Here is a 24,315-nt window from a genome sequence, read left to right as displayed (position 1 = left end):
CGCACGCGCACTGGCCCGCGCCCAGCCTCCGCTAGGGGACCCCCTCCATGGCTTCCCACCGGGTTGTTCCAGGCCTCAGCTTCGCCGAAAGGCCTCACCACCTCCGACCTCCGCCTGCTCTGGGGATGCTCCCAGCCCTGCTGCGGCAGAACGCGACATGCTAACCGGAATCCCTAGGCCGCCTGTCTCCTACCCATACTTAGAGGCCCCGCTCAGACGGTCCTTAAAACGTCTGAAAGGCCGTTCCTGCCAGAGTCCCTGCTACCTGTTACCTCCACCCCTATTTAGTCCTAGTGGACAGCCTCGCTCACCTTCCCTGGGATGACACTTCTGGCGGCTGAGATGAGCGAGCCTCTCTGGGCTCTGCCGCCGGGTGTGGGCTGACCTGCCTACAGCTGGGGCCTGATAAGGCAGCAGCAAAAGGGTGGAGGGGAGGCAGTGTTGAAGCTGGGGCAAGTAATTTTCCCCAATTTACAGGGAAAAACCGAAATTCAGAAAAGTTTAATGTCACCCAGGGGCTGGAGCCCAGACCTCTGGCAGCTCTCACTTTCACAATGCCCTTGGGCTGACTAGGCTGCAGAGGGGTTTCACCCCAACCCCAGGGCACCTCAAGTGTCCCCACCAAACCTTCCTAACACCTGTCCACTAAGCTGTACTAGGCCCTTGCAACTGACCTATGGGACCTGAGGCCTGGCCCCTCATGGCTCCTGTCACCAGGTCTCAGGTCAGGGTCCAGCAGGCCCTGAGCTGACGTGTGGAGCCAGAGCCACCCAATCCCGTAGGGACAGGTTTCACAACTTCCCGGATGGGGCTGTGGTGGGTCACAGTGCAGCCTCCAGCCAGAAGGATGGGGTGGCTCCCACTCCTGCTGCTTCTGACTCAATGCTTAGGGGTCCCTGGTAAGTGCCCCCAACCCTGATCCCCATCTGCCTTCAGGAGGGGGTTGGCCCCATTCTCCTATTCTAGGATGAGAAAAAAGTCGGGGAGCCAGAGGCTCAGTGGGCATGGGGCAGTGACCTTGCCCTCTTGAGCACAGCTGGGAAGCCCTAGGAACACATAGACATTGCCCACTTAGGCCTCTATTAGCACGTCTGCTCTAGCACTGAAGCAGTGTCAGGACCACACAGATGCACGCACACAGCAGGCAGTGACCCCTCCTGAGCCTGATCTACCCCTCTAACCTAGCATATGCCTTTGTGCAGGTGAGAGCCCAGATTTGGAGTCTGAATGCCTAGCCAGGGCCCCTGGCTGGGTAATGTGATGGCTCTGAGCCTTAGCATTCTCATTTGAGAGATGAGGTGGGGCAAGCTTCATCACCCACTGCTCTCACAGAGCGTATGTGTTAGATCTGAGCCCGGTGCCTGGGCCACTAAACAGAGGCACCGGTGATAACTACCAAGTCTGGGCCTGCTTCCCAGGGGAAATTTTTTTCACAAGTATCTGTGCAGGGGGCTAGACTGGCCCTTGAAAGTGCATACAGGGTCCATCCCAGAAGCCTTGTAGCTTTGATCCCCTGAATGAACAAAGTGTGGACATGCCAATACACATTACTGACATGTATGCCCACCTGACCTGCACCCACTCATGCCTACTCTGCAGGGCAGCGCTCGCCATTGAATGACTTCCAAGTGCTCCGGGGCACAGAGCTACAGCACCTGCTACATGCGGTGGTGCCCGGGCCTTGGCAGGAGGATGTGGCAGATGCTGAAGAGTGTGCTGGTCGCTGTGGGCCCTTAATGGACTGCCGGTGAGTGGCCACTGGGCCTAGATAAGACTGGGGGCAGGGAAGCCTGGGCTGTGGCGTTACCCTGTGCCTTCTTCTCTCCAGGGCCTTCCACTACAACGTGAGCAGCCATGGTTGCCAACTGCTGCCATGGACTCAACACTCGCCCCACACGAGGCTGCGGCGTTCTGGGCGCTGTGACCTCTTCCAGAAGAAAGGCAAGTGGGGGTGGAGAGGGGCAGGGTGGGAGACAGGGGACCTCAGCCCAAGTTGATCTTCTGTCTCTTGCTCCCAGACTACGTACGGACCTGCATCATGAACAATGGGGTTGGGTACCGGGGCACCATGGCCACGACCGTGGGTGGCCTGCCCTGCCAGGCTTGGAGCCACAAGTTCCCAAATGATCACAAGTGAGACAAACACCTTCCCTCCGTCCCGGCCTGGGGCCTTCCCCCAGCACACACTATAGTGATGCTCTGGGCCCTCAGGTACACGCCCACTCTCCGGAATGGCCTGGAAGAGAACTTCTGCCGTAACCCTGATGGCGACCCCGGAGGTCCTTGGTGCTACACAACAGACCCTGCTGTGCGCTTCCAGAGCTGCGGCATCAAATCCTGCCGGGAGGGTAAGCGGCGCCGGGTCAAGCTGGGAGAGTGGAGGGACAAGCCCACGTCCATCCACGAACCCACTGGCTCTTTGTCTCCAGCCGCGTGTGTCTGGTGCAATGGCGAGGAATACCGCGGCGCGGTAGACCGCACGGAGTCAGGGCGCGAGTGCCAGCGCTGGGATCTTCAGCACCCGCACCAGCACCCCTTCGAGCCGGGCAAGTACGCGTAGGCGGTATCGGCGTCCTGGGGGCCGGGCTAGGGAAGGTCCAGGACTCCAGGGGCAGGGCTCCGTGTAGGGCAATTGGGCGGGGCCAGATAAGCCAGAGTCCCAGGGTCTTGTTCACGCCCCATTACCGCCCCCAGGTTCCTCGACCAAGGTCTGGACGACAACTATTGCCGGAATCCTGACGGCTCCGAGCGGCCATGGTGCTACACTACGGATCCGCAGATCGAGCGAGAGTTCTGTGACCTCCCCCGCTGCGGTAGGCGGCGGGGACCAGGCCTGGGAGGGTACCTGGGAACCTTGGGGAGGGGCGTGGCTTGGCCGGGGAGGTAAGAGGGGCTGGGCGTGACCTGAGAGCATACCCCGTGGAGTACCGTACACCTGGGAAAGGCGGGTTTGGTCCCAGCCCCAGAGGGATCTCAGCTCTCGCTCGGGGCCCGACCTATCTCGGTCCATCTAAGGGTCCGAGGCACAGCCCCGCCAAGAGGCCACAACTGTCAGCTGCTTCCGCGGGAAGGGTGAGGGCTACCGGGGCACAGCCAATACCACCACTGCGGGCGTACCTTGCCAGCGTTGGGACGCGCAAATCCCGCATCAGCACCGATTTACGCCAGAAAAATACGCGTGCAAGTGAGGTGGGGGGGGGGGGCGGGCGTTGGGACGTGCTGCTGCGGGTGAGACGGGAGGAAGGTAGTCACGGGCTCAAGGCTGGAGGCTGGCGGGCTAGGGCTGAGTGGAGCGCCTGCTTAGAGACCTTCGGGAGAACTTCTGCCGGAACCCCGACGGCTCAGAGGCGCCCTGGTGCTTCACACTGCGGCCCGGCATGCGCGCGGCCTTTTGCTACCAGATCCGGCGTTGTACAGACGACGTGCGGCCCCAGGGTGAGGCCCAAGCTTGGGGGCTACAGAGCCGGGCTGGAAGCCTGGAACCGGAGGGCCGGGGCGAGGTCTCGGCCTGATGGCTGCCCGCACCCGCCACAGACTGCTACCACGGCGCAGGGGAGCAGTACCGCGGCACGGTCAGCAAGACCCGCAAGGGTGTCCAGTGCCAGCGCTGGTCCGCTGAGACGCCGCACAAGCCGCAGTGAGTCCCTGGTGCTCCCGGCCCCGCCAGGGCCCTAACCCTGGGGCGGCATGCTTTGGTGTCTGGGACCAGAGCCTGGAAATGGTTGAGACTACCCTGCCACGATTTTGCTCCCGCTTCCGCCTAGGTTCACGTTTACCTCCGAACCGCATGCACAACTGGAGGAGAACTTCTGCCGGAACCCAGATGGGGATAGCCATGGGCCCTGGTGCTACACGATGGACCCAAGGACCCCATTCGACTACTGTGCCCTGCGACGCTGCGGTGAGCACTAGTGACGCTTCCCCCATGACCCTGCCTCAGCCCCCACCCAAAGGCTGGCTCCCTTAACCCCAGTGAACTTTGTCTTTCAGCTGATGACCAGCCGCCATCAATCCTGGACCCCCCAGGTTAGGAGTTGGGCCAGTTATGGGTCAGGCCCTTTAGCCCACGACATCCACACAGTCTGGGTTTCATCCAGCCCACCCCATCCTACAGACCAGGTGCAGTTTGAGAAGTGTGGCAAGAGGGTGGATCGGCTGGATCAGCGGCGTTCCAAGCTGCGCGTGGTTGGGGGCCATCCGGGCAACTCACCCTGGACAGTCAGCTTGCGGAATCGGTGAGGCACAACTGCCTGTCTCCCACAGAGAGGAGCTGAGGTTGTGTCCTCTGTGGTTATCCCACTGGGGGCTGGGAATCTATCCCTGCCCCCAGAGGTCCTAGCCAGAAGATGGCAGGTCTAGCATCTGTCCCAGGAGTCTGTTACCTGTCCTAATTCCCCACTCCTCTAGGCAGGGCCAGCATTTCTGCGGGGGGTCTCTAGTGAAGGAGCAGTGGATACTGACTGCCCGGCAGTGCTTCTCCTCCTGGTGAGCCTCCCTTGTGTTTGGGGACCCAGTCTCATCCCACCTTCCCCCTTCCCCAGGCAAGCTAACAAGTGAGCCTTGGGGCAATGGACTGAGAGTCACAAATGACCTAGCAGAGCTTCTCTCCCAGCCATATGCCTCTCACGGGCTATGAGGTATGGTTGGGCACCCTGTTCCAGAACCCACAGCATGGAGAGCCAAGCCTACAGCGGGTCCCAGTAGCCAAGATGGTGTGTGGGCCCTCAGGCTCCCAGCTTGTCCTGCTCAAGCTGGAGAGGTATGTGGACAACCTGGGAGGGTGTGAGGTGGGGCTGGGCCTTGTGGCCTCAGACCCTGAGTGCCCCCATTCTTGCTAAAGATCTGTGACCCTGAACCAGCGTGTGGCCCTGATCTGCCTGCCCCCTGAATGGTATGTGGTGCCTCCAGGGACCAAGTGTGAGATTGCAGGCTGGGGTGAGACCAAAGGTAAGAGCACAGTGCACAGGACTGCTGGTGGCCAGGAGGCCCAGCCCTGGATCTTCCTGCAGGACCCTCTCCCTCTCCCCATTCCCCTCACTGCAGGTACGGGTAATGACACAGTCCTAAATGTGGCCTTGCTGAATGTCATCTCCAACCAGGAGTGTAACATCAAGCACCGAGGACGTGTGCGGGAGAGTGAGATGTGCACTGAGGGACTGTTGGCCCCTGTGGGGGCCTGTGAGGTTGGTGGCAGGGCCCTGGGCCAGCCCTGGAAGGGTATGGGGGGCTAGAAATGAACTATTTTATCATGAAGCAGGCTAGTCATTGCTGTGGCCCGGGGCCCTCATCAGTTCTCCTACCTGCCAGGGTGACTACGGGGGCCCACTTGCCTGCTTTACCCACAACTGCTGGGTCCTGGAAGGAATTATAATCCCCAACCGAGTATGCGCAAGGTCCCGCTGGCCAGCTGTCTTCACGCGTGTCTCTGTGTTTGTGGACTGGATTCACAAGGTCATGAGACTGGGTTAGGCCCAGCCTTGATGCCATATGCCTTGGGGAGGACAAAACTTCTTGTCAGACATAAAGCCATGTTTCCTCTTTATGCCTGTACAGATGCTTCTTAGCCTTTGCTTCCAGGAAATGTGTCAGTGACTCCTTGCTAGGGCTCGGGTGGCTTGAGCCCAGCACACCCTGGGCTAGGTGATCTGTCCAGCCTAGGGGCTTCCCCAACCAAGGCAATGTCCCTGGGACTACTTTTGCCCATGGGTGCCGTGGAAAGACAGGGCCTCACACTAGTCCTCCAGACATACTCTTGGGAAGGGTGGTACAGAGTAGTTGCTAATGGAAGGGGCTGCAGCAGGGAAGCTAGGCTGGTACAGAGTCCTGGTTGCCAGGACAGGCAGAGGCTAAGCCTCTCACTGTTCCCTCCCTTCTCACACTGGAGGCAGATGAAGCCCTTGTGGCTGCCACACCCAGAACCTAGGGTCTCTGCACCCCAGAGTGGGAGGTGGGGTTGGGGATGGTTTGGTACAAAGTACCAGCAGGAACCAGGCTCTGTGTCCTAATTTATTATGACTACATAGCCCACATTCCTCTGCCCACGCATCCGTGGAGTCCAGAGCCCAGAAAGCCTCCTGCTGCCCTGCCAGACCGTTGAGCTCCTCAAGAGCGAAGTGTGGCACAGGCTGATCAGCTCATGCAGAATGGCAGGGCTTCAGCTGCCCAAGTGTGTGCGTAGCCAGAGCACAGCATTCATGAAGCTGTCTGACTCCACCTCCACCTCTGATAATGCGTGGGTGCTTTTGGGATAGAGCAGGAGCCTGTAGGGATTAGTCAGCAACATTTAAGGTTGGAGGGTCCTCCTGTGCTCACCTGCCCACCAGCTGCCAGGGCCTTCATGCTGCACTCACCGAACAGGCACATTCCGGGTCTTGAGGGCACGGTAATACTCCATGCCCTGCTTGAAGGGCACACGCCGGTCCTCCTGGCCCAACATCAGTAACAGTGGTGTCTTCACCTGGGTGTTTGGGGAAGAGTGGGGAGCTGTGTTGAGCTGGGCCCTGGATTCTGGATGGATGGGCAGCACACAGGGCAAGGAGGGGGCTGCATACCTGAGGGATGTATCTGATGGGCGATTTGTCCAGCATCTCAGCCCACACGCTGAGGTCTGGCAGGCAGTCACTGCTGAAAGGAAAGCCAGCCTCCACCACGCACCTGCAAGACACCGAGCTGTTGCAGCCCCAGGAATTCTGGGGCTACGGGGCTCCATGAGAATTTGAGGTAGAGGAGGGAAGGGCAGGGACCTGTGGTGTATGCCTACCAGTCAGGGATGTCAGTGGAGCCCAACATGGAGGCGATGTTGATCACGGGGTTCCGGGCCACGCAGGCCCTGTAGGTCTCTGGGTACTGACCAATCAAGTGGCAGGAAATGAAGCCACCATGGGAACCACCCATAAGGGCCACATGGCTTGCATCAAAGTGTTCCTCCTGGAGCACCTGTTCCACTGCAAACTGCAGGGTGGGACAAAGCATGCTGCAGCCAGCTGCCCGCTCAGCTGAATGGAGGCATCCCCCTGGCAGCCCATGTTTCAGCCTGTCCAGAAGCCCCAGCCCCTGCTACCTGGACATCCTTCACATCCTGGTGGCCCACATTGCCTGGGAGGGAGAGGATGCTGTCCTGGCCAAAGCCCGTGGAGCCACGATAGTTCACTGAGGGCAGGGAGGGACCAGACAGTGTAGTCAGGCAACATTCCCAGCCCCCTCGACGCTCTTTTCACACATCTGTGAAGTAGGCCCTGGGGCCAGCTATACCACAGACTGTCAAGGGGTCAAGGGGAAGGGACTCAGAGATTTGAGGCTGCCACCCAGTGACCACAGCGCCCTTTCCTTGGAAGTCCCGAGTTAGTCCTTGTTATCACTATGCCACAGAACCAGAGGCTGGGCCCCAGCAGTTCCTGGTAGTGGTTACTAGGTCTAGGCTAGAGAAAGTCCTGGAGACTAGAGTGGCACCCATGGTACTTATACAAACCAGGTCCACCCCCGTCACTCCACTGTAGTCCTAACAGAACTGTGGGTCCCTGCTCACTCACCTAGTAGTACCGCAAAGCCCATCTTGCAAAGCATGGCTGGGAACAGCATCCAGGCAGTGACAAAGGATGAATGGGGCCCCCCTGCAGACAGGGAGCGGAGGGTGAAAGGGCCAGCTAGGAAGAGGGCTGGGAGGGCAAGGGCTCTTAACGCCAGATGCCTACCGTGGGGCATGACCACCATGGGCACTTGGGTCTTATCTGGAGGGCTGCCAGGCTGCAGCAGGATTGCTTCAAAGTCAAGGCCAGCTGCAGGGAGAGGGCAGCAGTCAGCAGGGTGAGCCTAGGGGCTTCCCCAACTAAGGCCCCATCTCTAGCTGCAGGTGTGGGGCTGACCTCTGGGTCAGAGACCTGGCCAAGGTAGTCCACACCATGACACATGGACCCCAGAAGGCTCATACTTCTTCTGCCCTCGTCAGGGAACCCCATCCTGCAGCAACAGCATTCGGGATGAGGTGTGGTCACTGAGGCTTGTATGAGGCCTATTTTCTTTGGACCTGGGTCTTCCAACCACAGATGATTTGGCCTGGTGAAGCCCAGGTGATATCCAGAGCAGGCGCTCAGATGTCTAGATGCTACTTCCCATGCCCATCCACAAGAGGAACAGAAAACCTCTTAGAGGTCATCACCAGAAACCCCACAATGTGAGAGAGGAGGTAGCAAAGGTCACCGCAGAGGCTTTGTGCTGGGGAACCTGGAGAAGGCATCCCTCTGCCCCTGGCCCAGCTCACCATACTGCACATTCTCTTGCTCTGGGGGTGGCTGTAGCACCCGGATGCCCCAGTGGATGTCGGGAATGGGCTCGGCCTCCTCCAGGGACACCCACAACACTGACTGCTCCTTCCCTGCAGAAGGCAGGAACCCAACTTTCTGCCAAGGGGAAAGAATGTGTCATAGGTGGCCTGGCTGCCTCCCTGCCCTTCCCTTCTGCCCACAGTGGGAAATAGGCAGCTCTCACTATGCTGGGCCCTCTACCCACCTCCAGAAGGTACAGCATGGCTTCCTGTTGTGGGATGGTATATACCAAGGTATTCATACTCATACAATCACACACAGGCACACCCCTCCCTCCTCAGCTTCTAGGCTCTGCTGTCTCCTTTGCTCTGTAATACCAAGACAGAGCACTTCCCCAGGCACCTTGTTTTGTACGGAGCAGATTCTAGCCTAGTAGTTCGTCCCTGTGAGTGCCAAACCCTCATGGACCATGCCAAGCTGGGCCTGTGTCTTGGCCCGTCTGTATGCTGACCAGCCAGGTCAGACTCTGGGGCCAATTCCCTGACCTGGTGAGCTCTGCCTGCCCAGAACCCCTGCCTCCACAGCCTGGGACCCACCGACACTCACCAGGGTTGGAGGTAGGCTGGGTGTGGAAAACTGTGCCACCATGAGGTCCTGGTCAATTGTGAGCAACTTCCAGCTCCCACCTGACCCTCCTGGAAAAGGCAGATGCCATTAAGTGCTTAGCAGGAGCCATCACCTTTCTTACCTGCTTCTCTGTAACAGAGTCCCAGGCTGGAGACTCTATGGAAAGGTGCCCTTTTCTCCCCGAGAAGTGCCTTTCACAAACACCCAACTGCACATGGCCCCGGGTGAGCCTCCTGCTCTCAGTCTGTTGTTCATCTGACAGACACTGGCTGGGCTGGGAACTGCCAAACCTTAAGACACATCAGACCATGCAGGCACATCTGCCTGTCCCTCGATGGCTGCTGTGTGCAGGGTGGCAGCTGGGACCGGGAAGTTGGGGGTCGGGGAGCGTGCTGATTTGGGGCAGTGGTGTCCAAGCAGTTGTACAATGAGATGTAGCTTTGGAATGATACTTTGGTAGCTTTGTGGAGGAGCGGATACAGTCAGGTCAGGTGGAGGACTCAAAACACATTTCAAAGGCAGAATCACCAGGCCTAAGTATGGGGAAGACGGGGGAGTCAACACTGGGCTTTTCCTGGGCCCTCAGGTGGCAGAGCTGCCTCTGCCTGAGACAGGCACCCAAGGTTTGCAGAGCGAGAAGGATGAGTCTGGCAGATCTTGATAAGAGAGAGTTTTGTGGGTTTTAGGAGCAGAGGTGGGGGCCGTGCTGAGGCTGGGCCAGGACACATGGAACAGAGTTGAGTGCTAAAGGGCAGTAGAGCAGGGAAGCTAGTCTGTTGGTTGGGTAAGGGTCTGCACAGACAGGGGCCTTGGGGACCTGTTAGTAAAGGCTGTGGAACAGTCAGTGGTGCTGAGTGGCTGAGAATGCCATCACTGCCCCACATGTTGGAGCTCCAGTCCCCCGCTGCCTGGTTGGCTTGCTCACCAGCCCTGCCCTTACCCCCATCCCCAAAGCCTTGCTCACCAGCTGTGAGGGAGGTCACAGTGCCCACTTGGGTGTCCACAGCAAACAGGTCCTGAAGCAGAGGCAAGGCCACAGGTGCGACCACATCCAAGAGTACTCCCTCTACCTATGGGTCCCTCCCCTACCTCCTCTCTACCCTCTTGGAGAGCCCTGGCCAGACCAAGGCTGTGGACAGCTATGGTGATGGTTACTCAGTGCAGTAGGGAGTAGTGTGAGGGCCTGGGTTCAAATCCCAGCACCATCACAACTTGCTGGGTGACCCTGGGCAAGGTAAGGAATGGCTTTGAGCCCCTTTGAGTTGGCACAAGGACCAAATATCACACCCAAAAGGAGCCTGGCACACTGTGAGTGGCTTTACTCCATCCCTGGGGGAAGGCCTCAGTCCTGTCCCCATCAGCTGCCATTACAGAGTGTTCAGGGACCCACCCGAGTGGCAGTCCCCTTGACCCCCAGCTAGAAATGCCTGGGAGGGGTTGCATCTCTGCCTCAGACGAAAAGGCCTGAGTTCTGCTGTGGTGCACCAGGGCAGCCAGTCCCCTCCAGGAGAAATGAGTCCAGGATGGGCAGGCAGGGTTTTAAGGGGCTGATGAGACTTTGTGGCTGGGCATTCCACCCAGGGGCATGCACATGCAACCCCCAGGGCTCCTGGGGGTTGACCACAGGGGCTGCCCCTCAACACAATCAGCGTCCCTCACCTGCCGGCTGCGCTGAGCCGAGTCAAAGACCACTCTCTGGCTGTCAGCTGACCAGCATCCCAAAGGCAGAAGGCTGCAGTAGATCCCAGAGAAGTTCTCTGTAAAGATAGGAGGGCTGAGGCTGCATCCAGGAGTGGAGGTAGGGAGGGTAGTCTACAAGGAAGGCTAGGGTACTGGGGAATTCACCCAGGGCCCTACTCAGGCACCAGTCAGGCCCCTGCAGCTTGTAGCACACATGGGGGCACGCTACGCGATGAGGAGCTGCCTGAGTAGGTGGCTGAGGGGCAGAGGCCTCTTGGGACCCAGAGAGGACCCAGAGAGGCAGAGCTCAAGAGCTCCAGAGAGAAACCATGGGTGCTCAGAGGAAAAGCACTTGCTCTCCTGAGTAATTCCAGTTGAACCCAGGTAGGTACCAGGTGCTTTAACCAAGATATCATCTGTCCGTCTTATCTCCACTGTGGTGCTTAGCACAGCGCTTGGCACAGGGGGCTCAGTAAATCCTACCCTTTAATATCATCACTCACTTAACACTCACTATGATCCTATGAGGCAGGCAGACACAATCACCCCTCCATGAAGAAATGGGAGCTCAGGGAGGCCAGGACCCTGTCTGAGGACACAGCTAATTTAGGGCAGAGCTGGGATTCATACTAGGTTCCCACCACTGCATCCCTGCAACCCAAAGAGAAGACAAAGAGGCTATCCCTTGTCCACTGAACTCCTGGAACTGACCGGGTGGCCTGAGAAAACAAGAGACTCATCCTTGAGATGGTCCAGGAGGATCCAAGCAGAGCTATCAACACTCGAGACGGGAGCCTCTCAGCCAAGAGCCACCCTCCTGAAGACCCAGCTGACTTCAGGGCTTAGACTGGACAAAGGTTGCTGGGGTTAGGATGGTGGATGGGATAATATCATGCCCTCGGGTCCAGAGCCTCTCGAGTGTGACATTCCAACCTAGTGCACTTCCTGAGACCCACTTGAAGGAGTCATGGTTTTGGTTTGAACCAGCCATTGGAAAAATAAGAAAACTCTAATTATGACCTGCAGCACAGGAAATAATACATCATCAACTTGGGCCACTCTGATCTCAGCTTGGTCCTACCACTCCTTGCTATTGAACTGTTCCCTACGGTGACAGCCCCGCTCCCTATGGTGACAGCCCCGCTCCCTGAGGATGCTGGGCATAAGGCTGGCCCAGCAGGGAGGTAGGGCCCTCAGAAGGAACCTAGGAAAGAAGAACGGGGCAGGGATGCAACAGACGGCAGGAAAGCAGAGCTACAGGCCCCACTGCACCCACCCAGCCAGGTATGCCTTACCTCCCAGCTGCCGAGGCACAACATCTACCACCACTGAGGTAACCTTGGTATACCAGTCATACTGCAAGAGAACACAATGGTCAGGTCCAGTAGGGGACAGGCAGTTCCCTTAGGGCACAGTGCCCTGTGCCTATCCCCTTTTGCCTCAGGTAGCCCCAGGAGATGGGGGAACTGGAATAAGCCTGATGTATCTCTTTTCTGGTGACCTGGACCAGATGCCCAAGGGGCCTCAGATAGGCATGTCCCTCTGACTTTTACCAGGGGCCCAGAGCTCTTCCTGGGGAGGGTCTGGGATTGTGTAACTCCCCACTATATCCCAGCCCCTTGCAGAGCCTGGCTACATGCAGTTGAGAGCCAAGGGGAGGAGCATTCTTGCAGACGAGCATTCTCTCAAGGTGGAATGCCCCAACAGTGCAAAGCTCTCCATGGCAGCACTCTCAACCTCTAGGCCCTCCTTGAGAGGACAGGCAGAACTCACACCGCTGCTGCATTGAGGACAGAAGGGCACCTACTGAGGGCCTATGGGGAGATGATACTGGCCCTTCAGCTCTCATCCACCATCCCATCTTCTTGCTGACCACCCTCCCATCCCTGCCACCTCCAGCTCACCAGGCACAGCTGGCTGCATTGGTGATGGGGGATCAGAGATGGGTACTGCAGGTAGACAATGCGACATTGGTCTGGGCTCAGCCGGGGAGAAGAGACAGCCAGGGAGTCATCCGAGAGGAGCTCTGGGCCAGATGGAAACATGAGCATCACGCAGGCTGGCAGGGCCAACATGTGTCAGCAAAGCACAGGTGGGCATCAGCCACTTACCACACTTCCCCCCGATGAGGTCCACATAATACAGGGCTGACCTGGAACCACGAGACAGACACTCAGTCTCAAGGCCAGCTGGGCTGCAAGGCCCCTTGCCTTGCCCCACTCCCTCACCTGCGATTGGTGCAAAAGCGGATGCCCAACCGGAAGGGCTCATGCCACCAGCCCACAAACACCACACCAGCATCTCCAGGGGCCCAAAATGCCTGTAAACAGGATCAAAGGGCAGGAGTGAGCAAGGGGTGGTAGCTCAAGAAGGGTCCCAGACTCCAGGGGGGACACAGGCTGTTGCTGCTGACCTGTCCAGGGGACACATTCTCAGGGACCCCCTCAAGCACAGAGATGTTGCCACTCTCGACATCCAGCACGCAGAGCACAGGGATGCTTTTGGAAACCATGTTTTCTCCCCAGTCTTCATAAAACACAAACTGATCCCCCTGAGAACACAAGATACTCAATGCCCAGCCTGTCTATAGGACCTGCTCTGCTTCCTAAAAGCTAGTGCCTCCCCAGGTCTGACAGGCACAGTATGGGAAGGGAGCACACTGAGCCCCAGGGCTGCCCTGCCGGGCCTTCGTGGATTGACCACGAGCACCTTGATGGCTTGGTCTGGCTTCTTCAGCCTGGCTATCTCATCATCGCTGGCACTGACGTCCAAGGCTTTGGTCTGAAAGAAGGACTCGGCCTTGGGGCGCTTCTTCTCTGCCACATACAACAAGTGTGTCTCCGAGTGCGACCAGGACAGGCAGCCAAAGCAGTCTGGGTGCAGGGAGGGCCAATCAGGGGGGGCCCAGGGCTACGGCTACCCCTCCTGTCCACCCTGCCTGCTCACCAGCCAGATGCCTCACCATCCTCATAAACAGGCCCATGTTTCTCCAGCGCTGACAGGTTGAAGCTCTTGAGCTTCCGGTTCTTCTCCCAGACCTGAGGACATCTGGGCATTAGGCTGTTTGCCCGCTAACAGAGCCTTATCTGTGGGGCAGAGCCTCTCTCTTGTCACCCACTACCTGGTCCCATGCAGACTCACCTCCAGGAACTGCTTCTCTTCCCCAGGGCCCGTGCCTCCAGCCTTGCGCAGCACAGCTTTCATGGTGCCTGAAGGAGACTCTCTGCTCAGCAGTCTGTGGACATGGGGTAGCACAGGTCAGGATTATCTTGCAATAACCCCTTCCTGCTCCCTACTGGGCACACCTCTTAGGAGAGATTCTTGAGGCTCTGGCCCCACACCAGCTTCTGGAGCACCTCTAGCCCCACCTTGCCTTTCCTCCCTGAGGCAGAGACTCTACTCTCTGCAACTCCCCAGGCCACCATGGGCTCTAGTCCAGGCTGAGTTTGGAGCAAGCTTCCAGTGCTTATCAGGCCATGTCACCAGAAACTGAATGAGCTCCCAAGGGGGCAAGAACCTGGCTGCTGGCCTCCCTTCTAGGCACATGGTGAGCATTCATAAAAGGCTTGCATTGCGGACGGCTGTGGCCTTGCCCACAAGCTTCCTCCCTCAAACTTACTCCCCCCGGGTCTCCACACTGTTGCCTGCAGGTCCTGCAAACACCACTGAGTCCCCGTCATGGAACACCAGGTATTGGCGGCAGAATCGAATGTTCTCCATGCGTTCCAGGTCCCTCTGGGTCCACTCTGTGAGGGGAGGCATGAGACTGCTCACCTTGTCTTGGCTACTCCTGGCTACTGCCCCCAGCCCCACCTGACCCAGGAAGGCCTAGATCTATCTTCCCCAATCTCTCAATCTGTCTCCAGACACTGACACCCTGGCTGCAGGCTGGACAACACTTGGCCACAACCCTAGTCCAGGCCTCCAGAGCCTGAGCTGACAGCCTCTTTGAGAGAACCCCCTAGTAACCCCAGCATCCACCCTGGAATCTTGAGGGCAGCCTGGCATGTGTATGGGATGGCGTGTTGGTGGAGAGCCCTACAAGGTCCACGCCCTGAGCCCAGGTTTGACTTCTACCCCTACGCCGTCATCTCGTGCACTCATGGCCGCCATTCGATAACGCCCCGCACGCCCCCTCCCCCCCTCCACACACCTGTGTGCAGGGACCTGTGGGAGTGTAACCTCCAAGTCCAGGCCGGCTCCCTATATACCCTTACGCACTGTCAAGCAGCGAGCCCTCCACACCCCCTTCCTTCCCACCCCAGTGCGCGACCCCGTCGCCAGCCAGTTCCCCTTCGCACACACACCAGTGTGCACCGTCCGGTATTGGCCGCCGTACTGCGTGGTGACCTCCGGGCCCAGGCAGGCGGCGCTCAGCGCGGGCTGGCGGCTAAGGCCCCGATACAGAGCCGCCGCCTCCTCGGGCTCGCTCAGCAGCACCTGCGCAGGGGACACACCAGGGTCAGGCCCGGCCCGGGCTGCAGGGACCACGGGGACCGCGGGCCGAGCCCTCACCTGACGTTCCATAGTCTCCTCTCTGCCGCCGGGGCGAGGCGGGGCGTGCTCGCGCCCGGAAGTGAGGCTTCCGGGGGCGGAGCCTGGGACGGCCCGGGCTGTCTCCGCCCCTGCCCTGCGGCAATCTGTGAGGGGCGGGGCCTTCGGCTAATGGGTGAGGACCGTTGGCAGGGGGCGGGCCTTGACGGTGAGAGGACCCGGCCTGGGAGCGAGAAGTCCTGGGTGGGTGAGAGCAGGGGTCTCGCCAGGGGCGGACTAGCCAAGTGGGGGGCGGGGCCGTGGGCTGAGTCCTGGGCCTCTTACCGAGGGGCGAGGCGTTGGATCTCGGAGGAGAGGGGGCGGCCCTGTGGAAGCGGAACCCGGGAGCCCGGCTTCGGGGAGGGTAGAAGGGCCTACGAGAGAAGGGGTTGAGGGGGTGCTGCAAGGCGGAAGCAGCGCGGTCGGACGGGCATGGCCCAAGCACGCGAAGGGCGGGGCCCGAGGGGAATGGGACCAATGAGTCTTTGAGGATGAAGGGCAAGGCGGGCGGGTCCGGATTGGAGCCCTGCGAGGAATGTGGAGCCGGGAGCCTGTGAGCGTGAGCGTGAGCGTGAGCGTGAGCGTGAGCGTGAGGGTGAGGGTTGGGCGGGGCGGAGCCGGCCGCAGCGTGGATCTCCCGCGGCTCTGGGGCTGACTGTAGGGTTCCTTCGGGTCCACCACGAGGCCGACATTCACTACACAGTGCCAGGCCCTGCCCTGGAGGGAGTTCCACGCAGACGAAGAAGAGAAGGGCCAGGGTCCGGGCGGAGGGCGCGAAGCAAAGCCCTGGGGTGCGGGGCAGAGGGGCGGGTGCCAACTCTTAGGGTGCTGCCCGGACTTATCAGTCGCCAGGCCTGCCGCAAGAGCTATCTATCCCCGCAGCCTTTACCCAGCCTTCTCAGTGGCACCTTGTTGGGGACCGTGAGCTGGTGGGTCCCTGCCTTCCTCCCCAGGCCTCACCCTGAGCTCTTGGGTGTGAAAGGCCTGGTGGGCTCAGACTCCACCCAGGACCAGGGAGCTTCCTGTGGAAAAAACCTAGGCAGGCAGGTTCCCTGTGCACGTGGTACAGGATTGGCTGGGCTAAGGTGCCAACAGAGATCAGGAGAGGCTGGACAGTAAGGATGTTCCCTCCATATACCTGAGTCTGGCTGGTCTTCCACATTCAGGGCCCTGGCTCCCTGCTCCATGGCGTGCTTGTGATTGAGAGTCCACTTGTCTGGCCTGTAGCTTCCCCTTTCCCATCAGCCGCATCATTACTTACTCAAGATAACTAGTTAAGTAAAAAAAAAAAAAAAAAAAAAAAAAAAAGTCCCGGCCGGCCGGGCGCGGTGGCTCACGCCTGTAATCCCTGCACTTTGGAAGGCCGAGGCGGGCGGATCACGAGGTCAGGAGATCGAGACCATCCTGGCTAACACGGTGAAACCCTGTCTCTACTAAAAATACAAAAAATTAGCTGGGCATGGTGGCAGGCGCCTGTAGTCCCAGTTACTCGGGAGGCTGAGGCAGGAGAATGGTGTGAACCCGGGAGGCGGAGCTTGCAGTGAGCCGAGATCGCGCCACTGCACTCCATCCTGGGCGACAGCCAGAGTCCATCTTAAAAAAAAAAAAAAAAAAGTGCCAGGCGCGGTGGCTCACGCCTATAATCCTAGCACTTTGGGAGGCTGAGGCGGGTGGATCACCTGAGGCCAGGAGTTCGGGATCAGCTTGGCCAACATGGAGAAACCCTGTCTCTACTAAAAATACAAAAATTAGCCGGGCTGGGTGGCACGCGCCTGTAATCCCAGCTACTCGGGAGGCTGAGGCAGGAGAATCGCTTGAACCTGGGAAGTGGAGGTTGCAGTGAGCCGAGATCATGCCACTGCACTCCAGCCTGGGCAACAAGAGTGAAACTCCGTCTCAAGAAAAAAAAAAAAAAAGAGTCCCAACTTTCTGACGCCACTGCATTTGTCAGTATGTACAGGACTGTATCAAGGCCAGAAACAGGAGTAGAATGAGTGGCCCCAGCCACCAATTTGGGTGGAAAGATTGGAAAATAGGATGTTCATCAAGCATTGTTTATAATAGGAACACTGGGAACATAGTGCCTGTTCCTTAGATTGTGTGTGGTAGACTGGCTATGAACTAATGGTGTATCTCTCTGGAGGTTGAGCACTGGAAGACGAACATTTAAGTACCTGAAATAAACGTGGAAATAAACAGAAAGCTAGAAAACAGGATATATTGCACCTTCTGGCTTCTGTTTAAAATGAAGACTGGAACAACAAACAGGAAAGAAGGACACGCATCAAAATGTTAATTCTGGGGAGAGGGCCAGAGGTGAAGCTGGGATTCCTGTTTATCTGTGTTAAAAAAAAAAAAAAAAAAAAAAAAGGTCTAGCAACTCTGGGTGACTTCGGTAAGGAGGTACTCCTGACCATCTGAGGAAGGCCTAAGGTCTGGCAGCCGGTGAGAGTTTGGGGGTTGGAAAATTCGGAGCAAGGCAGAGAGGTGTAGGGCTTGTTGGCAGCACCAGGGGGCAGCACTTGTTCACTGCCTCCCTGGAACCAGGTCCCAGAAAGCTGTGTATGCAGCCAACACACCTGAAGGCCATGGAGGTGCTGTCCCTCAACAGCCTGCGCACTGACTGCCTGCTCCAGGTCCAAGCTTGGGACCTCCCCTTGGGCACCTTTGTGGAGGGCCCATTGTCTTTGGATGGCTTGGTGTGGACTCAGCCCCGTGCTGTGCCAGCACTTCTGCAACTTTGTCCATCCTTTTCCCTTTAACCATGGACAGGATTGTCGCAAATTTGGGGATTTGCTCCTTCAGCTAAGCCTTCCCACTTGAGAAACCATCCCAGAAACAGTCTGTAGGTTGTTTATATCAAGTCCTTTTATTCTGATACCACAGAATTACCTTGTCACAATACAGGGGGAGGGACACTGAAGTACCACGAGTTCTCACAGAGCACAGAAGGACAGCACACAATTCACAAGGTCATGTGGAGGACTCGGGTCATTGCACTTACAACTGTAAACTTGTTTGTTTGACTTTGTACAGCACTCTTCCCCCCTCAAATAAAGAAGGAGAGAAGGAAAGAAAGGGAGAGAGGGAGGAGGAAGGGGAAAGCAAAAACAAGACATGAAAGCTAGAGGAAAAGGTATTGAGTGGCCACCACTCTCCAGGGTAGTGCACTTGGAGAGAAGGAGCTGATTTGACCCCAGAAACTGAATGAGGCAGAAACACACACACACACACACACGCACGCACGCACGCACATACACACATGATCATGTGCATACACATACAATATCTCACGACTGCCATGGCTCTCCAGTGCCACCCCAGTGCACATGGCAGCAGGGCTGCTGGCACCCAGGGAGACAGAGATGGCATCTCCGAGGAGTTTCAGTTGATTAGGCCTGTCCCTCTAACCCTGTTGGAGTCCATGATGACAAGTATTTACAGCATGGGGGTGGGTAAGAGGAGAGCAGACGGGACAACAGGGCAGGACCATGCTGTCCTGGCAAAGGACCTGCCTGGAAAACTCCCTACAGGCTCCAGAAGGCAAGGCATAGTTGCCACCACTGCTGTTCTTTCACTGTGGGCCCTCAGACCACATGCTCTGCCCAAGGATTGTAGGGGAGGGCTGTCACTGTGAAGTGAGTGCACTGGGCCCTGAAGTGAGCAGAGAGAGGAGGCAATGCCCTTGCTCATGATGCTGGGGAGAGGGGTATGGAGAAGGCCTGGGCTGCATGCTAGAGACTCCTTGCCCATTTGGAGATGTGTCTGTTGCTCTCTACTTTCCAAGGCACCAAGTGCTGGTCCCTCAGCTTCTGGCTGCATTGTCCCCAGAGTCACAACTGCATCCATGCAAGGGCCAGGAAGGACAGTCCATGGACCAGAGGCCTGCTCCAGCCACCTTCACAGAGGGGCGATGATGTATCCTGTGGGTACAGTGGGGGATGAGGAGTGGCAGATGTCAGAATTTCAAACTCAGAGGGCTTGGCCAGAAAGGAAATTTGCTGAAAAGTCAGTACTTTAGAGCCTGAGACTAGGCCTGCTGGAGGCTGACCTCCTAACATTTCCCTGCCTGTTCCCTACTTCTTGTCCCATCCCCTGGCCTGTAGTGGAAAGGACTATTGCCTTGGTCTCCAAGGCACATCCCCACACAGACCTGGTCCTGGGTGGCCAGAGGTGTTAGGTGATGGCTTCCCTCAGCCCTTGCTCAGATGGCTGCATTCAGCCCATACCTGATCTTTGGGATGAGGCAGGTATTCCATGGGTGGGGTGAGGCCAAGTCCCAGAAAGGCAAGGGTGTTAAGTCCAACACAAAGGTTGGCAGCTTCCTGTCCCATCCATAGCTACCAGAGGTGAGCGAGGAGCCCTCTCTGAAGGGGTGTGTAGATCTTATAGAAAAGCATGAGAAATGCGGACCCCTGAGAAATGCATGGTGCAAACCAGAGCACTCTGGACGAAGGTCAGGCCTTGAAGGGTCAGGCAGGTACTGCCTGCCGCACTCCTGGCTCAATGGTAAAAAAGCTGATGAGCAGCGGGACGCTTGGGCTTTGGAGAAGGGGGTGAGCAGGGAGCATAGGTCCTGGGGACAGATGCAGAGAGGGTCACACAGGACCTTCTGTAAGATTTGCTATTGAGAAACTTCACAAGAAACTTAGCTTGAAGCCACTGTTTATATGAACAGTTCCAGATGACCACTGTCAACTGTTCTCACCACAAGTGCCAAAGGCCCAGCTCTTCCTGAGCATCCATTGACCCCCTAGCTCCAGCCCAGATCTCCTGGCTCACAGTCCTTTGAGCCTCCTAGCCACAGAGGAGAGGCATGAAACAGGTGCAGTCAAGAGCTGGGGTCCCTCGGGCACAGCCTGGCTCTGCTCTTGCCTCTGCCTCTCTGGCTGTGGATGCCGCCCAGCTCTGCCCTTGCGTGGTGCCCTCTGGGAAAGGGCTGTCAGATGCCTCTGGCTCAGGGTTGGGGTAGGAAGGGAAAATGACAGACAGACAGATATCCTACAGCAAACCTTCAGAATGTCCATACACACACATCCTGTGCAGGCTCCTACCATTGCGTCTGCTCTGGGGATTCCTTTTTACCTGCTGTCCTGGACAGAGAAAACTGCAGGGTATGTGGGGGCCTTTTACTGCCTGCCCTGCAGCCTGGCACGCTCAGGCAACAATTCTGGCAGGTCCTCACTAGCTTGTGCAGAAGTCAGCTAGAAGTGCTCCTGAAGGAGAGGTTCTGAGGCAAAAAGAACTCCAAGCAAGAGGGTCAAGCATTTAAAATGGATGAAATCGTGCAAAGAGGCTGCGAGCTGTGCATGCTCCACTGCAGGACAGGCGGTGACTCACCTGGCAGCAGCGAGTCCTGCCACAGGTCAAACATGCCACAGACTGAGAATTTCACACACACAATGGGAGCAGGGGTGGGGTGGGGAGGGGTGGGGGTTTTATGAGTGTATCTATCCAGTTTCTCAATTGCATGTTTGCAATTAACTCCTTATACATAACATGGAATTTATTAAATATTAACAGTTGTCATTGAGGGTTTATATTTCATTGCATAGAACGTTAGAGATGAGACTTGTGGCTGTGCCCCAGATGAAAGGAGGCCCCCAAGGGAAGAGCCCTGGGGAGGAATGCTGCCCAGTCCACCGGATGGATAGACAGTGCCACATTCCCCCGCACAGGGCTCTGGGCCTTTCCCTTGGCTGGCAGAAGTCCTGGCCCCTCTGCTCTGAGTACACCCACTGGTGATGGCTTAAGAACGACTGGAATTGCACAGTAAACAGAGGCGGGCTGGGAGGCCTCCCCAGACCTCGCCCTGGGGTTGTGCTCTTGGTGGCCTGCTGCCCCCTATTGCTTCTAAGTCAACATTCTCCCTGTGCTGAGCAGGGGCAGAGCAGAGAGGAAACCAAACCATCAGTCACAAGGTGGTGGTGGAGGGGGAGAGGCAAGGGAGTGAGCCAAGAGAAGAGAGAAAGGGGGAGAGAGAAACAAAAGAAAAATGTTTATGAGGTATACACGTAAATCAAACTGGAATGATTAAGGCTGTTCTTGAAATCAAAAGAAATCCCCAGGTGTACAGACGAGGAGCCGGCTGGTTGAGACAATGGCGGTGCCGCTGGGATGCTCACGATGGCTAGGGGGATGGCTTTGAGATGGTGGCAGTGTGCTAGCACGCTGCCACCCACGGGCTGGGAGAAGCCTCAGCCGGCGCCCACGCTGCTTTTCGGTGCTATGGCCTCTTATTTCAGCGATGAGACAGTGTTAGGTCCTAATGTTTGTAAAGTTCTCCCAACCCCTGGCCACATGGAGGTCTGCTCCGATGTCACCCAGAGGGCATGTGACGGGCAGGGCCCTGTGCCACAGAGGGATCCGGGCCAGCTGGAATGTGAAGGAAACGGAGCCCAGGGCCCCCAGCCCTCAGTCAAAGCCCCTCTCCAAGGCTGTGGAAAAACTTCTGGCATCTCGGAGGGAGGGCAGTGTGTGCCCAAACTCTGTGTATAACGCACGGGAAGCCTGGCCGGCCAGGCCGCAAAAAGGCGGCTGTGGGAAGTACGGCAAGACACCATGGTGGCAGGGTTTCTGGAGAGGGTTCTCCCTCCCAACAAGGGCTGTGCCTTGAAGGTGGTGCCCTGCAGAGAGCAGCATCTCTGGAAAGACAATCAAAGGTCCCCTGGCCAGTGGTCCGACTTGTCCAGCAGATGCTTCACCCAGGCAGCTGCTGTGAGAAAACATCACGTCCTCAACTGAGGCCTGCCTGCCACGTCCCACCTGGTGAGTCTTTGGGCCAAGGGTTTGCCAGATTGTAGATGCTTGAAAGAGAAAAGGAGGGAGGGAGGAAGGAAAGAAGAAAAGAAAGGATTCTGTCAAGAATTGTAGATAGCTGCTTCTCACCCTCACATTCCTCTCAGCCATCTGCCTGTGCTAGCGGCCACCTCCTCACCCACGGGGTGCCATGCCACTCAGGCTTGGGGAGATGGGTGCTTGGGCAGGTTGGAGGTCACAGAGAGGACAGCAAGAAAGAAGAATCAGGTCAGCCAGGAAGGGACACTTCTTTTAATGTAACAAAAGTTCCTTTTTTTTTTTTTTTTTTGGCTTAAGAGTGATGGAGAAGGGATTTGGTTTGAAATGGCAAACCTCTCCAAGCCCATCTCTGAAATTGCCGTAAAGAATTTCAGGAGAGGGATACTCACGGCAGCACTGTCCACTTGACCCAATCATTAGCCGAATGCTAGAACTCAAGGGAGATTTCTTTAACTATAAAGTCAGTGGTCTCAGTGGCCCAACCACACCATGTGGCAGGACGCAGAACAAAGCTGTGTCTGTGCTTCCTTTCCCTGCTCAGGAGCCATACCCTGGCCCCAAACCCAAGGTAGGTACTGTCATGAATCCAGGCCATGGGCTGTCCCTCCTTCCCCCACTTTCAGCACCACTTGTGATTTCACATCTGTTCCAGGGCAACTCCAAGGAAACATCAGCTGAGCGGGAAGCCGCAGGAAGCCCGCTGTGGGAGGGTGAAGGCAGGAAGAACGCTAAGGGCTGCACTATGGCTACTGTAATTAGAATAAATTCCAGGCTCCTTACTTGGCCTGCACAACCCACCCCAGCTGGCTCCCACCCCCTTGGACTTTACCCCTGACCACCTCTCCCCTCCACTGTGGCCCTGGCTATACTGGCCTTTGCCCTGTCCCTGGTCCCATCCCAGCATCCGATCATCCGTCAGTGCTGTTCCCTCCCCTTTTTTCATCCCACCGCAGTCGTCCTCCTCCCTCAAGCTTCCCTCACATATCTTCTGCTCTGAGCACTTTGTCTAGAGCAGACCCCACTGCTTCCATAGCTCTGCTTCTCTGGCTTTATAACACTCATCACTTTCAGAAAGTACCTTTTTAATTGAATTTTATTTTTAAACTTATTTATTCTCTATCTCCTTTAATGGATTGTCAGCTTCAGAGGGCAGGGACTTGGTTTTGTTCTCTGCCATATCCCCAGATCCTGGAAGAGTGCCTGGCACATACCTGGGGCTTGACAAACATTTGTTGAATAAATGGACGGAAGCCTGGGCCTTTCCAGGGCCCCACTGCTTTTCCAGAGAAAGGTAGCCTGTGAGGTATCACACCTAGCTCCTTCCCTCCCACAACCAGTGCTGGCCCGGGCCCAGCATCTGCCAGCCCCAGGGCTCCCTTGAAGTGACCTGCTCACTGACCGCCAGGCCCCGCCATGGATAACACATACATGCTTGTGCACCGTGAGAAGCACCCTGAAGGGGCAAGGAGGGAGAAGAGGAGGGTCCGAGGGCTATGGGATGATGGTCAGTGGTCCTGGCTGTGCACAGAGCTGTACCAACAGCCAGGTGATTCTCCTCCCACCCAGGATGATGCACTTCCTCCTCCTCCCACAGAGGCAGGGCCAAGGCCAGGGCCAGGGCCAGGGCCAGGACAGGCTCCAGGAAGTGGTGTCCCAACCTGCCTTGGCCACTGCAGCCCAGACAGGGTGAGGGCTCCCATCCTGAGGCCCTTCTGCCCTCTCCCTGAGCTGACTTAGTCTGGGGCTGAGACTCCCTTTCCTCTATGTCCCTTCCTGTCTGCCTCTCTACTCCTTCCACTCTTCTATCCTGTGGGCCACAAGCTCAGCCTGTGAAGCCAGGAGTGTTTTGACTTCATTCCCAGAGCTGCAGATGTGACTCTGTGGGGTTTGGGGACTCTAATCTCTTCCAAGTGGCTGGAGCAAAGGCACCAGCAGCAGACATCAGGGAAGAAGCATGTTCCCCTACAGGTGCCACAGACTACCAGGTCCTTCAGGATGACTTTGAACTCAGTGCCCAGCACATAGACTTCAAGTTGTGAGGTGCAGTTAGCCGTGCTGGGCTCTTCTCCAAGGGTGCCACCTGACTTGTCTGGCACCATCTCAGGCAGCTCTGTGGCCCCTGCCTCTGCGGGGTAGAGGGCTGCTGGGCCCATCGCAGCTGAAGGAAACCCAACAGGCCCTTCCCAGTTCACACTTGTCAGAACTGGCTAGCTGTCATCAGCCAGGCCTTGGCCCTTCACCCCTCCTCCGGCCCATCTCACCCTGATCCTGACACTCACTGTTATACGCAGAGTCCAGAGCTGCGCCCAGGCCTCTGACTCCAGAGATTTTTCCACAGCAATGATACCTCTCTTCATTTCTTCAAGAGCCTGTGGAGCATTTAGAGGAGGGCTGGAGAGGAGTTGCATCCCTGGAG

The 24,315-nt window shown here is 57.3% G+C and overlaps 3 protein-coding genes across 24 annotated transcripts in view, besides 7 other annotated features; 1 reads left to right on the top strand and 2 right to left on the bottom strand.

Annotated features, from left to right (window-relative positions):
- Positions 23-5,550, top strand: MST1 (macrophage stimulating 1). 13 transcript variants are annotated; one of them, XM_017006460.3, is made up of 18 exons: positions 23-899; positions 1,600-1,747; positions 1,829-1,941; positions 2,019-2,133; positions 2,212-2,348; positions 2,430-2,546; positions 2,695-2,813; positions 3,016-3,184; positions 3,305-3,435; positions 3,535-3,637; positions 3,765-3,901; positions 3,991-4,026; positions 4,115-4,275; positions 4,408-4,485; positions 4,613-4,759; positions 4,841-4,947; positions 5,044-5,126; positions 5,308-5,550. In XM_017006460.3, exons 1-18 carry the CDS (start codon positions 806-808, stop codon positions 5,467-5,469), a joined length of 2,157 nt encoding a protein of 718 aa, XP_016861949.1. In that variant the 5' UTR covers positions 23-805; the 3' UTR covers positions 5,470-5,550. The 13 variants fall into 13 exon arrangements, 12 of the variants coding, with proteins under 12 accessions (XP_016861949.1, NP_001380510.1, XP_047304114.1 ...); NM_001393581.1 differs by having other exon boundaries at positions 5,044-5,183; XM_047448158.1 differs by having other exon boundaries at positions 2,430-2,550; positions 4,115-4,235; positions 4,841-4,891; positions 5,100-5,183.
- Positions 110-669: an enhancer, noted in NCBI's record as "H3K4me1 hESC enhancer chr3:49726261-49726820 (GRCh37/hg19 assembly coordinates)". NCBI's record gives its function as "activates a minimal SCP1, AML or CMV promoter by ChIP-STARR-seq in naive H9 embryonic stem cells {active_cell/tissue: H9 hESC(naive)}" and the evidence as "EXISTENCE:reporter gene assay evidence [ECO:0000049][PMID:30033119]".
- Positions 2,186-2,899: an enhancer, noted in NCBI's record as "H3K4me1 hESC enhancer chr3:49724031-49724744 (GRCh37/hg19 assembly coordinates)". NCBI's record gives its function as "activates a minimal SCP1, AML or CMV promoter by ChIP-STARR-seq in naive H9 embryonic stem cells {active_cell/tissue: H9 hESC(naive)}" and the evidence as "EXISTENCE:reporter gene assay evidence [ECO:0000049][PMID:30033119]".
- Positions 2,512-2,631: a silencer, noted in NCBI's record as "silent region_14371". NCBI's record gives its function as "represses an Ori minimal core promoter by ATAC-STARR-seq in GM12878 lymphoblastoid cells {active_cell/tissue: GM12878}" and the evidence as "EXISTENCE:reporter gene assay evidence [ECO:0000049][PMID:35858748]".
- Positions 2,900-3,613: an enhancer, noted in NCBI's record as "H3K27ac-H3K4me1 hESC enhancer chr3:49723317-49724030 (GRCh37/hg19 assembly coordinates)". NCBI's record gives its function as "activates a minimal SCP1, AML or CMV promoter by ChIP-STARR-seq in naive H9 embryonic stem cells {active_cell/tissue: H9 hESC(naive)}" and the evidence as "EXISTENCE:reporter gene assay evidence [ECO:0000049][PMID:30033119]".
- APEH (acylaminoacyl-peptide hydrolase) lies at positions 5,526-16,380 on the bottom strand. Of its 6 annotated transcripts, none has more exons than XM_047448065.1 (22): positions 16,240-16,380; positions 15,387-15,475; positions 15,084-15,301; positions 13,710-13,803; positions 13,531-13,606; positions 13,278-13,441; positions 12,982-13,119; positions 12,797-12,888; positions 12,680-12,720; positions 12,473-12,594; positions 11,864-11,924; positions 10,548-10,645; positions 9,853-9,904; positions 8,868-8,956; positions 8,258-8,396; positions 7,692-7,775; positions 7,530-7,610; positions 7,061-7,149; positions 6,761-6,951; positions 6,552-6,654; positions 6,351-6,457; positions 5,526-6,260 (listed from the first exon to the last, which is right to left on the bottom strand). In XM_047448065.1, exons 1-22 carry the CDS (start codon positions 16,286-16,288, stop codon positions 6,155-6,157), a joined length of 2,283 nt encoding a protein of 760 aa, XP_047304021.1. In that variant the 5' UTR covers positions 16,289-16,380; the 3' UTR covers positions 5,526-6,154. The 6 variants fall into 6 exon arrangements, with proteins under 6 accessions (XP_047304021.1, XP_011531960.1, NP_001631.3 ...); XM_011533658.4 differs by having other exon boundaries at positions 15,084-15,285; NM_001640.4 differs by lacking the exons at positions 15,387-15,475; positions 16,240-16,380 and adding exons at positions 14,188-14,314; positions 14,876-15,008 and having other exon boundaries at positions 15,084-15,146.
- Positions 14,852-15,461: a silencer, noted in NCBI's record as "silent region_14370". NCBI's record gives its function as "represses an Ori minimal core promoter by ATAC-STARR-seq in GM12878 lymphoblastoid cells {active_cell/tissue: GM12878}" and the evidence as "EXISTENCE:reporter gene assay evidence [ECO:0000049][PMID:35858748]".
- Positions 16,367-24,315, bottom strand: part of BSN (bassoon presynaptic cytomatrix protein) — a 118,654-nt gene continuing 110,705 nt past the window's right edge. For 2 of the 5 annotated variants that reach the window (NM_003458.4, XM_047449152.1), the window contains exons 11-12: positions 24,179-24,268; positions 17,948-21,907 (exon numbers count right to left, since the gene is read on the bottom strand). The gene's annotated coding sequence lies outside the window, so the exon portion shown is untranslated. Of the gene's footprint in view, positions 17,276-17,947; positions 21,908-22,136; positions 22,600-24,178; positions 24,269-24,315 lie in introns of those variants that run through there. The other 3 variants (XM_047449150.1, XM_047449149.1, XM_047449151.1) reach the window with 3 other exon arrangements.
- Positions 22,607-22,901: a silencer, noted in NCBI's record as "tiled region #2684; K562 Repressive non-DNase unmatched - State 23:Low". NCBI's record gives its function as "represses a minimal TATA promoter and a strong SV40 promoter by Sharpr-MPRA in K562 cells {active_cell/tissue: K562}" and the evidence as "EXISTENCE:reporter gene assay evidence [ECO:0000049][PMID:27701403]".
- Positions 22,607-22,901: an enhancer, noted in NCBI's record as "tiled region #2684; HepG2 Activating DNase matched - State 5:Enh". NCBI's record gives its function as "activates a minimal TATA promoter and a strong SV40 promoter by Sharpr-MPRA in HepG2 cells {active_cell/tissue: HepG2}" and the evidence as "EXISTENCE:reporter gene assay evidence [ECO:0000049][PMID:27701403]".

The sequence above is a fragment of the Homo sapiens genome, chromosome 3 (assembly GCF_000001405.40).
Source record: "Homo sapiens chromosome 3, GRCh38.p14 Primary Assembly".
Classification (NCBI taxonomy): domain Eukaryota; kingdom Metazoa; phylum Chordata; class Mammalia; order Primates; family Hominidae; genus Homo; species Homo sapiens.
This window is presented reverse-complemented; position numbering and strand designations above follow the sequence as displayed.